The following is a 14229-nucleotide window of genomic DNA, read 5'->3' as shown; positions in this document are numbered from 1 at the left end:
AGGGTTTCACCATCTTGGCCAGGCTGGTCTTGAACTCCTGACCTAGTGATCCACCCGCCTCGGTCTCCCAAAGTGCTGGGATTACATGCGTAAGCCACAGCGCCTGGCCCCATTGATAACACTTTTTAAAGTTCTCTATACTTTTTTTTTTTTTTTTGAGACGGAGTCTGGCTCCGTTGCCCAGGCTGGAGTGCAGTGGCGCGATTTCGGCTCACTGCAAGCTCAGCCTCCCGGGTTCACGCCATTCTCCTGCCTCAGCCTCCCAAGTAGCTGGGCCTACAGGCGCCCGTGACCACGCCCGGCTAATTTTTTGTATTTTTAGTAGAGATGGGGTTTCACCATGTTAGCCAGGATAGTCTCCATCTCCTGACCTCGCGATCTGCCCGCCTCGGCCTCCCAAATCTACTCTTTTTTATATTTCTCTGCTCTTATTCACACTTGAACCCTATCTAATCAGTGTCTTATCACTACCACATTCCTGAAACCACACTGTCAATGACCAAATCACTAAATCCAATGGTCAATTTTCCATACTCATGTTGCTTGAATTATCAGCAACATTTTTGTTTCTTTTTGGAGACAAGATCTTGCTCTGTCACTCAGGCTGGAGGGCAGTGGCTCACTGTAGCTTCAACCTCCTGGATTCAAATGGTCCTTCCACCTCAGCCTCCCAAGTAGCAGCAGCATTTCATACAGTTGATGACTCTCTCCTTGTTGACAAAAATATCCTCATTGTATTTTCAGTTGACAACACTCTCCAGGTTTTCCTTCTACCTAGTTTCTTAATCTCCTTTGCAGGTACTTCATACTGTCTAATCTCTAAACCTTGGGGTAAAAAGGGTTCAGGACTCAGGTGTACATTTTTTCTCTATCTAAACTCACTCCATCTCTTAATAACATCATCTAGGTCGAGGCCGACGTCGCTTCCGGAGCAGCATGGCGGCCACTGAGGAGGAGAGGCTAGCAGGGAGCGGTGAGGGAGAGCGGCTGGATTTCTTGCGGGATCTGCACGTGCGATTTTTCCAGCGCTGCCTCGAGGTTTTGCCGGAGCGCTGTTCTTCACTTGAGACAAGCAGGTCTTTCCCACAGAAGACAGATCAAATCTAAATCGCTGTGGTTTCCGAGGCTCTTCATACCTGGGTATTCTTTTCAATCCATCAAAGGCTCCTGGAACAGCTCATCCTTATGATAGTGGCCACATTGCAATGACCTACACTGGCCTTTCATGCTTACTTATTCTTGGAGACGACTTAAGCCGAGTAAATAAAGAAGCTTGCTTAGCAGGCTTGAGAGCCCTTCAGCTGGAAGATGGGAGTTTTTGTGCAGTACCTGAAGGCAGTGAAAATGACATGCGATTTTTGTACTGTACTTCCTGTATTTGCTATATGCTCAACAACCGGTCAGGCATGGATATGAAAAAAGCCATCTCCTATATTAGAAGAAGTATGTCCTATGACAATGGACTGGCACAGGGAGCTGGACTTGAATCTCATGGAGGGTCTACTTTTTGTGCCATTGCCTCACTATGTCTGATGGGTAAACTAGAAGAAGTTTTTTCAGAAAAAGAATTGAACAGGATAAAGAGGTGGTGTATGAGGCAACAAAATAGTTATCGTGGAAGACCTAATAAGCCTGTAGACACCGGTTATTCTTTTTGGGTGGGAGCAACTCTAAAGCTTCTAAAAATTTTCCAATACACTAACTTTGAGAAAAATAGAAATTACATCTTATCAACTCAAGATCGCCTTGTAGGGGGATTTGCCAAGTGGCCAGTAATCCAGGTGCTTTGCATGCATACTTTGGGATCTGTGGCCTGTCACTAATGGAGGAAAGTGGAATTTGTTAAGTTCATCTTGCTCTGAATGTAAGCACACAGACTTCTGAACGCCTTCTAGATCTCCATCAAAGCTGGAAAACCAAGGACTCTTAAACAATGCTCAGAGAATGTACATATCTCTACATGACTGACTTTAGATTGGGAAGGTGGGGGGATTTGTAGCATAACTGTAGCTCAAGTTTAAAAGCCATGTATAACCAAGTGTGCTCTTTTTTTAAAAGGTAGAGTCTTACAATCAAATCTCCTGCTGATGTCACTTTGGGGTATGGTCTTGAGCCAGTAATCTTTGTACTGGGTTTCAAGAAAATCTTTGTTGAAGTTTGAACCACAACTTTGTCATGGTTCTTAAATGTTTATACTGTATTTCAAAGAAGTTGTTTGAGGCAAATTAAGTGTATGTGTGTAGGTTATCTTTTTAAAAACTCTTCAGTGCAAATTGTATCTTGTTATAAAATGGACACAAATCTGCAAAACAAATTTACACTTCATATAGCATTGATAATCTTCAGGTGAACAGTTAGTAATCATTTAAAAAGCTCACTGCTGATGGTAGAAAATTTGCCTTAATGAATTAAGTATCTGGGATTATTCTTTGAAAACAGATGACCATAATTTTTTTTTAAAGCAGAGTGACTTATTTTGTCTTATTTTTAAGTAAAGTGTGCCAATTAAACCTGTGTGGCCTATATAAATGAAATTAATAACTTCATAGTTAGAATAGATAGGTTTAACTAATGTGATAGTTTTCTAAAAGGAGATTGTTTGAAGACAACTATTATGTAACTGAGGGAAAAGCAACTTAACTATATGTGATTGTGAATGAGGAAGTTTTGTGTTATGTGGGTCATTTATTTAGACATTGCTGTGGTGAATACCAGTTATGTTTGATTTTATTCTCAAATCATTAGTTGCCTTATTTTTGGCTTTCTAGAAAAAAAACAATCTTTTCTATGTAGAAGGAAAGATACTTCGTGTTTTTATTTTTAGCCATTTGAATTTTTTAATTTGTTGCCCCCAGTGTGTTAGCTGCTCTGATTTCAAACTAATACTTTTCTAATTTTTTTCAAATTAAATAAGTAAAAAAATACAAAAACAGAACCATTCAAATAGATTCAGTGGTGCAACTCTATACATGGTCATTTTTATTCTCATATTTTCTGGTAAGTGAGAGGGAAATGTAAGCATTTAGAGGGTAAGAACCAGGGTTTTGTTTTTGTTCATTGTTTTGTTTTCTTAAGTCTATGAACTAGCTAATTATAAAGGAGATAGTATAAAAACTCTTCATTCGTAATTAATCAATAACTCATATCCATTACTTGCTCAGTGACATTCAGAACTATGAGTCTAGTACTGAAATAGGGAAAGAAATCTCTTCACTAAAGGAGTTGGGTTTAAGTTAGTCTTGGTGATAATAAACGTTGAAATACAAACATCAGTATAAAAACTAGATTACTGGTATCACTGTTTAGGCATTGTAATATTTTAAATGTTATCTTTTTTTCTAAATTAGAGAAAAAAATGTTGTAAAATAACAGTCCTTCCCAAGGGAAACACTATGTACTTGGAGAAATGATTCATTTATTATTGGCATGCTTAGTTTTAAACCTGAGTTTGCCAAAGTCAACTGTATGTTGTTTAATTAGAAATAAAATAAATCTTCTGATGGTGGGGGAAAAAATAAGCCTAATAACAGATGTTATCCTTCTGTGGGTTATTCCAGTTGCTACTATTTAAATCATGGCAGATTAAGACATCCATATCTCAAACTAAGTCATCTCTTAGACATTGGAAGCTGAAGTAGCATATACATAATGGCTTTAGGACTATATAAAAAGCCCAAACTGTTTTTTCTATATCACCAAGAAAGGTTAGAAGGTAATAAAGGTAGTAACAGTGACTGTATTCATGAATGTAAGTTAGAGAAAAATTCCAATCTAAAAGTATTTCAGAAGGCTAAACATTTTCTAACTCCTTATAATTTAATACCATAAGATTATAAATTTTAGTAAGCTTCTAATTGATATACTTGTGGGAGACTTTCTTGTGAAACTTTATGGACTAGTAAATGTTCACATTCCACAGCAACTTAATTGACCAGAAAATAGCAGGCCAGTGTGAACTGGGGAGAAACTATTTCTAACTTTTCTACGTAGTTATTTACAAGAAAAATATTTACCGATTAAATAAATTATAAGCAATATGTCACATATATACTTTATTCCTTAGCAGGAGTGATATAATAATGGGAAATATGAAGTCCAAAATCTCAAAAAGCTCTATTTCCTACTCCCTACTCGTCTCCTTCCTGCCCCCTAATTTTGTGGTATTTTTTTTTAGAAGGTAGGAGGAGGAGCTTTGTTTTGAGCATCTGCATACAAATAAGATTAATCAGATCATGTGGCATAATTTAACCTGTTTATCATTTCAGTGTTTTTAGATTTGATCTATAATATATATGTTATCAGATCTTTAAATAGTTATTTATATTTAATCTAAATTCATATAGAAATCTTGCTGACAGTGGTATATAATTTGAAAACTGTTGGACCTGATCATTTTTGAGAGACAGTTAATGAGGAGGTGCTCTGGAATCAGATGACCTGGGTTTAAATCCCAGATTTGCCAGTTCAGCAGCAAGATCTTGGACCCTAACTCTCCCATTGATAAAATAAGGAAAATAGGTAAAACCTAACTCACAGGGTTTAGGATTAAATGAGATAATACAGATAAAGCACTTAGGATAGTACCTGGAATACAGCAAATTTCAAATTATAGTTTCTTTATAATGATCATAAAATTATTTTTGTAATTAAAACCTCTCTTCTACAACAGAAAGAGGTCTTAACAGTTTAACCTCAGGGAAAACGGTGACAACAGTGTTGTTTTCTAATCTCCCCATAAAAATACAGAGCAACTAGGATAGCCACAGACACTCTTACAATGCTAGATGACAAGGTATCTCCATGAACTTCAAAATACAACTAAGTGAGGACAAACCACTGACCCACATAGTTTCAGCATCTGTGGAAGGAAGTAGAAGGAAGGCAGCTGGTTTCTGACAGCTCTGCAAACTGGAGAACGACAACACTGCCCACAGTTTCTCACTACAAAGTGTGGCAGGCCAATCTAAGAACAGGCACTGAAACTGGGAAGTGACTACAGAATCCCATTTGCAGATGAATGTTAAAGCAATATGATAAGGTCTGATGATCGCATTAGAGCAGTCTGGGTTTTACACTGTGTACCTCTTGAAGCTTATGAGACAAAGCCCAGCACTGAGGACAAACTTCTAGAATTAGAATCCAAATGGGCAGGATGGGTAAAATAGGACAAAAGAAAGAAGATCTAGATAAGTATTGGGAAGAAAGGTCAAGATACGGAGACACTATATATATGTATTTTCATTATATATATATATATATATATTCTTTTAAATCACTGTGAAAATGGGACCTCTAAGGCTGTGAAGTCATCCTAGAGCCACTCCTCCCTCCTAAAAGTACAGAAAAACTCATTTCAGTTAAGGGGAAAAAAAGAGTAACTGAGCCAGGATTACAGTCAAACTCCATTCAAAGTTGATGAGTTAATGCGTGCAGCACACCAGCATGGCACATGTATACATATGTAACTAACCTGCACATTGTCCACATGTACCCTAAAACTTAAAGTATAATAATAATAAAAAAAGAAAGCTGAGGCTTTAAAAACTGAAAAAAAAAGAAATAAGAGAATAAATAGATCAACATCCTTACAGACAATGAAAGCACACCAGAAATGACCACAAGACAGATAAAAACCTAATATTTGCAAAAAAGTAAAATGCAAATATGACAGGAAATTTATAGTAATTAGTACAATTATCAGTAAAAGTAGGAAAAGGTGAAAATTAACCAAGTACCAAACACTTGGAGTAAAAAGCAAAATAAAGCAGAAGGAAGGAATGAATAAAGATAAAAGCAAAAAATAATTACTAGTAGAAAACCAAAACAAGAGAGGCAATACATCCAAGTTGGTGATAGGTAGTGCGGGGAGTTGAGTGAGATAAACTACCAGCTAACCTATTTAAGAAAAAAAGGAGGAAGCACAAATACAAAAATTTAAATGACAAGGGGGAAATAGTAAAACAGGAAATTTGTTTAAATTGACTACTTTGAGCAATTTTACACAATAAATTCGAAAACTATTTTGAGAAAAATACAAATTGCCATAATTTACTCTAGGTAGATAAAGAAAGTCACAACAAACCAATTACCATAGAAGAAACAAATACTTAAAAGCACCCCCTACCAAAAGAAGCATCAAGCCCAGATTGTTTCAAGGGGATTTCTACCAAACCTTTTAAGATTAAATAATCCTGTTCTTGCTTAAGCAATTCCAGAGACTAAGAAAATAATATTGAACCTCAAAGTGCCAAAAAAAAAAAGAAACTCCTAAATTCATTATTTAAAGTGAATGTAATAGCATTGATTTAAAAACCTGACAAAGATTGTACCAAAAAGAAAATTATAGAGCAATCTCATGAATATTAATAAAAAGTTTTAATGATATATTAGAAAACAATCCAACAGCACTTTCAAAAGGTAATCATGACTAAGTTGGGCTTATTATAAGAATGCAAGGGTAATTCAATACTAGATAATCTGTTCATATTCATCATATTCAGTTAAAAAAATCTTCATCTTTGCAGAAAAGACATGATAGAATTGAGCAATCACTTATGTTAAATATACTAAGTAGAAATCAATGAATAATCCATTAACATTGTACCTCTACCTAAAAGCCAGCATCTTAAATTTCAAATCAAAAGAGACTTTCCAGGTGAAGTCAGGAACAAGACATGCCCACTAACTCCTCTGCTACTTAACAATGTGTTGAGAGTTTTAGCCAATGAAGTTAGACAAAATAAAGACATGAATTGGAAAGGAAGAGGTAAAACTATTTGCAGATATGAATATATATCTAGAAAGCCCAAATGAACTTGTTGAAAAACTAAACAATAAAAGAATTTAGTAAAGTAGCTATTAAATACAATTTACATACAAATATCAGTAGGCTTCACCAGACACAAGTGCATACTTTGATTCCATTTTGATGAATTTCAAAACAGATGGCATTTATGTATGGTGTCAGAAATCAGCACCCCCTTTCAGTCACTACCTGTCTTCCCAAAGGTAAGCATTATCAAAATCACCATCAATTAATTTTGTCTGTTTTTGAATTTTATATGAGTGGAACCCTATAGTATACATTATTTTTCAACTGGCTTTAACTCAGTAGGACTGAAAGAGGGTACAAAGGGACTGTGTGGTGCTGGTAGTGTTATGTTTCATGATCTAGGTGCTGGTTACACAGATGCATTCACCTTATGAATATTTATCAAGCTGTAAATGTATGATTTGTGCACTTTTCTGTGTGTATAATTATGGCTCAATAAAAGTGTTTACTAAAAAAAATCTAGTCCTATGATCTGAAATCTCATTTATAATATAAACCTACCAGTCTGAACATCTCCCTTGAATTCCATACTAATATATCCAATTATCTACCCCACCTTTCTATATGGATGTCCAATACAAGTCTCAATTATAATGTTCAAAATCAAACTCCTCATATTCTTTTTCAAAAAAGCTCCTTCTGTCATCTTTCCCACTTGACTCAAGTGTAATACCCATTCTTCAAATTGCTAAAACTAAAACCCCTTGAGTCATCCTTGATATCTCTTATTCTCTCTTTTGCTATATCTAATCCACGTTGATATCCTCTTTGACTCTCTTTTTTCAATGAATCTCTCATTAATTGCATTATCATACCACATCTCATAACTTTCACCTTTACCACCCTAGCTCAAGCTGTGACTTGTAGTAACCTTGTTTTTTGATAAGCTTTTTAAATAGAAATCCTTCTACCTTTAACATCATAGAGTTTGTTTAGAACATAGTATTCTAGTAATTATGTCAACACCAGCCATATCGCATCACTCTATCTCACTCAGATCAACAGATTTGGTCCCCACAAGCTTTATGACCTAATAGTATATGTATCTATCCCTAATTCACTCTGATCCAACTATGCTGTCTTTATGATGTTTTTGCAAACATGCTATGTACACTCCTGCTTCATGAATTTTGCATTTATTCTTCCCCTTTCCTGGAAAGGTCTTATTCTAGAAACCCGTGTGGCTCAATCCCTGACGTTCTTCAAGTCTCTGCTCAAATGTCACCTCACTAGTGAAGTCTTATCTCACTTCACCATATTAAGTAACACCCTTATTCATCACACTTTATTTATCTGCTCTGCTTTTCCTTATCTGTTCGATTATCATATGATCTACTATATATTTTGCTAATTTCTTTGCTTATCACTTCACACTAGACCTAGAATTGAATACCTATTCTATGAGGGCTATTTTTTTTTTTTTTGCATATGCTGTTTCTGTTCAGACTTAGACCAATATCTACAACACAGGAGATGCTGAATAAAGATGGTTTTGAATAAAAGAGTAAACATTTCATAAAGAATGTATACAAAACCAGAAACACTTGGAAATATGTAATTTTAAAAATGAAATAACAAATCTAAACCAGAACTATTTAGCATATATTGCTTTCTAGTTAGTGTTGGAGTAAAATATTTGAATTTACTTTTTTATTATTTAGTAGATAGAAAAATCACCAGGGCCCAAGCCCACATTAGCTAGTTGGAAAGCAGGACAGAATAGTGCTTAAAAGCACAGACTTAAATAACTTGTGGTTCAGAGAATCAGGCAGTTCCACTTATCAGATAGGTTAACGTGGGCAACTTATCACTGGGTCTCATGATTTTTATCGAAAATATAGAGAAAATATAGTATTTCTTTCATGGCATTATTAAGAGTCTTAAATGTAAAGCACTTAATACATTGCTTAATGCATGGTAAGCTTAAATAATCAATTAGCTACTCTTAGTACCATTACTGATGATAGAGAAAATTTTATATGAAAAAGCTTTCAATGAACTTGGAAGAAATGGAAAAGAGAGACTTAAAATAAGTGTACTACCTGCTTTTCTCCAGGGAAATAAAGAAATTAATGAAGCAATGCCATATAATCAAGAGTCTTTTTTTTAAGTTTTATATTAAGATGACATGGATATTTAGATATCAATTTTTAAAAAATTAGACATAACTAAAAATTATACAAATTATCATACACGTAATCAAATATTTGCCAGCATAGTACTGAATAAGCTGACAAGACATTGTTCAGTAAGAAGATTTTATTTAGAAATTTTGAATTTGAAAATTTATTTTGTTTGCTCAATGACTTAATGTTCTTTTTCCTAGCTCTTGTTATACAAATAAAATAGCCTAAAGTATACATATATATATGTGTGTGTGTGTGTGTGTGTGTGTGTGTGTGTGTATCTATATAAATTATTTGAATGAAACTTTTAGGAAGAGTAACAATAATAAGTTAATAAATATAAGTTAATAAAGATAGATGCTGCTTGTGTTAGATTCAGTATTTTTTTCTTTTTTTCAGTTTTATTAATGTATGGGTGACAAGTAAATATTGTATATATTTGCAGCATACAATGTTATGTTTTGATATATGCATGCATTGTGAAATTATTACCACAATCAAGCTAATTAACATATTCATCACTTCACATACTTTTTTTCGTGGTGAGATTATTTAACACTACTCTCAGCAATTTTCAAGTATACATTTTTTTAACTATAACCACCACTCTGTACAACTCCGGAACTTATTCATGCTTGTATTAGATTTATATTGCTGCTAAAATATGTTACAAAAAGCCTAGCGGCTTAAAGCAACACCTTATTATATCACAGCTCTTTAGGTCAGATGTTGGAGTTGGATTTGCGAATTTCTCTTCTTTGGGTTTCAAAGGATTAAATTTAGCTGTTGGTCAGCAGGGCACTTACAAGAAGGCTCTGGGAAGTAACTGCTTTCAATCTCATTCGGATTGCTGGCAGAATTCAGATTTCTGTTGCAGAGCTGAGACTGCTATTTCCTTCCTGGCTGTCATTGGGATTGCCCTTCCTCCTTAAAGACTCCTCTCTGGTCTGGCACATGTCCTCCTACATCTCAGAGCCAGCATGGTAAATCCTCTTGACATTTGGAATCTGACTTTCCCTTCTGCCGCTTCTCTCTTGCTTCCAGTCAGAGAAATTTCTCTGCATCTAAGGCCTCACGTGATTAGATTGAGGAAGCCAGGATAATACAGAATAGTCTCCCTATCTTGAAGTTTGTAGCCTGAACTATATTTGAAAAATTCCTATTGCCATGTAAAGTTACTTATTCATAGGTTGTGGAAATTAAAGGTTTGGCTATCTTTGGGGAGGCTATAATTAAGCTCATCAATGGGTATGTTTGATCTTGGGGATTTAGAAACCTCCCTAATAGTGATAGGCTTTGTAACAATTACAAAAATATGAAAGCAAAATCAAGAATGAACACTCAGTGATCTATTCTATCATTGATCTGTTGATCTTTTCCTTTCTGTTCTTTTTGTGCTTATCAATCAAATATATTACAAATAACTCTCCCAAAATAATTTTTTGCTATTGACTTTAGAGACATACATATCTTGTTGAATCAAGAGTAAATGAGAGCACTGAAGATTGAGTTTCCAATATATGCATTTTGTATTGTTGATTGCACAGAATATAAATCACTTTGAATGATATAAGAAAAAATTTTCACCAGTAGAATCTATTCTTTCCTCAACAATTGAATATAATGCTGCATTTTCCCCATAGAACAGGTAAAGCAATTTGTGTAAGTTTTAAGATAATGTATTAAAGATTTGGGGGAATTATATGATAAATTTAAAATAATTTCAATTACTCTGCATAATGTTCATTATTAATGAAATTAAGTTAAAATATAAATTGATAGGCTAGTTGAAATATTTTTTCAAAGGTAGAGCTCATATAATTTTTCTTATACATTAATCTACTATTGTAGTTTTATTTTTCATATTACTAAACAAACATTGCAACTTGCTGTGATTTATGTAAGTAGAAATTGGATAAACATTTCCAATACAGTGATAGCTTATCAAGCCTTTTGCAGAGTAGTATTTTCTCAACATTGCCTAAAAACAAACTCATTCAGCTTTCACTGAAATATCACACTGTCTATAATAAGTACTTTAAAAATATTTTCTTTAAAAATCTTGAAATGTTAAATAAAATGGCAATCATATTTTAAAATGCTATAACCAATCTTCAAGTTTTGTTATCTTATTCATTCCATTTATGTATTCGTTTTAACAATATTTCCATACGTAATAAATCACCTTAAAACATCAGATTCTAAAGAATTTTCTCCAAGGAATTACTGTCATAAATGTGATAAGTACTTCTGTTCTATATGGTAAGGAAGGGTTTATTCTGAGCTTCCTTTCTTTGAGAATTCTTCAACCACTCAATGAACAATTTATTCTTTTTATTAAACTTAAATTTTCTATATCTTACTAAGCATCAATTATAAATTACAAGAGAATCCTCTTGAAAGTGCCTTGGTCCAGATCTTGACCTTACTTTGAGGGCTATTTTAGGGGCTGTATTTCAGGAATATACTTGAGCTTATTTGCTCAGTGCATTAATATATAGGACTTTACTTAATAAGAACTGATTAATTTGGTAAGAATTGCTTTGTAAGAATCACTCTTCCTCTTTAGTTGTTTGTTGTTGTTGTAGTTGCATACAGAGATAATACGTTAAAATTCAAGTTAAATTGAAATTCATAAGAAGAAAAAAAATGATGTCTCTGTGTGTGTGTGTGAGTGTGTGTGTATATATATAATTATATGTGTATATATGGGAGCTTCAAGACCAGAAACATAGTTTTTCCTCTGGCAGAACTGAAAAAAAAATATTTTGAATCAGGCCAGATTAGAAATACTCTATCATTTATTTTGCCATTTTTATTTTAAAAATTGAATAATATCTACAACTTCCTCATAGTCCCTATTAATTATACCTCAATAATGTGATATTTGGTACAGTAAGAAAAAATTACATAATTTCAAAGAAAAAAGAAAATGTCAATTTGCATATACTATATAGTATCAATGTGCATCATTTTGAATTGAAAGACTTCTAATTTAAACACATCTCTGTCGCAATCTGATGGAACTTACATCTCAGCAGTCATTTTATCCAAAGCCTAGGTCCTGTTATGATAAAAATAAAAGAGCATTTTACTTATTTATTGTTTTGAGAAGCATATGTATATGTTTATAGAATTTTTATACTATGTTTAAAATTTTGGCAAATAGGTTTTTTTGAATCAAGAATGGGTTGAATTTATTGTCTATTAATTTTTAATAAAATTTACAATTTAAAATTCAGAAAGCTGAAAAGATTCAAAGCTAGTTATGAAGAGCCATAAAAATTCAAATATTCAAATTCATTATAGTTTGGGGAAAATACAGATAATGAGCATGAGGCATCCATCACATCACCTTAAAATTTCTCACTAAAAATAAGTACCTTGTATATAACAAGTTATCAGCACATATTAACTCACAGCATTAAGTTGGTTATGACAATAATTACTATTCATAAAGCAACAACAGTATTATTTGATCTCCATTTTGGAACTTACCCCATGAATCTGGCAGGTCTGGCTACTCCTGTCTATTTCATCCCTGGTGTATCCACCCTCAGTTTTGTACACTTATTCCAGTGCCTACTGGGTCTCTGTACTAGCCATATGAGAGAGGGGTCTTGGATCAATATTTGTTTTAAGCAGGAAGCTTTTCTCATTTAATAGTAAAATTGGAAATTGTTTGATCTTCCAGGTAATAATTTCAACACTATACAATATATTTGATTCAAGTTAATAGAAATCAGGTAGCACACATATTATTGGAATATCAAAAAATCTGACTTAAACATCCAGCTGAAGTTAATCCCATAATCACACAGGGAAATAATCCATTATGTCATGCCTTAAAGTAATTTGGATGATATAACCTTGATATTTTTTAAGGTGATTTCACAATAGATAGAAGATATAAGCCTATATGTGGCCTGCAGTGGTGCATCAGAAAGTACAAATAACAAGACATGCTCCATTTTATGTTTAAAAAGATAGAATTCTGATTTCATCGGGCATGATGGCTTATATTATTTTATACACTATTTAAAGTTTTGTGTATGCAATTTTATTAAATATGACTGCAGATCAATTTCTTTGTTTTTTGTGCTACTTTGGTTAAAATATGAAAAGTTTTTTGAACATTTAAAATCACATACATGTAATAAGTTATCCTGCTGTGTTATCTGTAACAATCAATTTTGTGAAGTAGGAGCCTCTCTCAGCTATTATCTGATCATTTACACAAGATGAAATTATAAATTACCTTAGATCCCCTTGTTCTCACAATTTATCCTGTATTATTTACATACATGGTTGTAATCAAAGTTAAAAATTATGCTACACTATTATATCCTCATGTAGTTTTTTTATTGTAATGAGAACTACAAAGATTAGATCTTCTTGTGTGTGAAAGTTAGAAGAATTAATAGAGAATACTTTAATTAAGTGATCATTGAGAATTTTTTTAAAAATAGTAAATAATCAGACCAAGTAAGTTAGATTAAAAAATCAGATAAATATTACATAAATGCTTAGAGTGCTCTTCAGATAATTTCCTTTTAGATTCTAACCTGAGATTTTTAACTGTAGCTGAAATACGTGGTATGAACTGACATCCATTAATCCATCCATTCATTGATTTTTGAACAACCAATGATAAAATATCTGAAATATGCTGTGTCCTAGTGAGAGGAAACAAAATATAAAAGCAATAATAACAAATCTCGTTTGCTTTGATTAAAATCATTTTTGAACATATGTAAACTTTCATCTTTTTAATATATAGTGTACCCAGATTAAAGGAGTTAAATATTTTTAACACAGATTTTGAGTATTTTTCTATTGCAGTGCTTACCACACTGTAAAAATTGTATTTGTTTTAGGTCTCTATGTACTTAGGAGCTCTTCAAAGACAGGGACTACAGTGAGTAATGATTATTTGCTGGATCAATAATATGTGTTAAATTGATATAAATTAGTTAACTTTAGGATTATAAAAAAAGATTTATCCCAGCACTTTGGGAGGCCGAGGTGGGCGGATCAGGAGGTCAGGAGATCAAGACCATTCTGGCTAACACGGTGAAACTCCGTCTATACTAAAAATACAAATAAATTAGCCGGGCATGGTGGCAGTCGCCTGTAGTCCCAGCTACTCCGGAGGCTGAGGCGGGAGAATGGCGTGAACCCGGGAGGCGGAGCTTGCAGTGAGCCGAGATCGCGCCACTGCACTCCAGCCTGGGCGACAGAGCGAGACTCTGCCTCAAAAAAAAAAAAATC

At 33.6% G+C, this 14229-nt stretch overlaps 1 pseudogene; it reads left to right on the top strand.

Moving 5' to 3' along the window:
* PGGT1BP2 (protein geranylgeranyltransferase type I subunit beta pseudogene 2) lies at window positions 913-2261 on the top strand (annotated as a pseudogene).
* Window positions 2262-14229: the final 11968 nt, after the last annotated feature.

Source organism: Homo sapiens, chromosome 10 (genome assembly GCF_000001405.40).
Source record: "Homo sapiens chromosome 10, GRCh38.p14 Primary Assembly".
In the NCBI taxonomy this organism is placed as follows: domain Eukaryota; kingdom Metazoa; phylum Chordata; class Mammalia; order Primates; family Hominidae; genus Homo; species Homo sapiens.
Note: the sequence above shows the minus strand (reverse complement) of the source record. Positions and strands in the feature narration are given on the sequence as shown.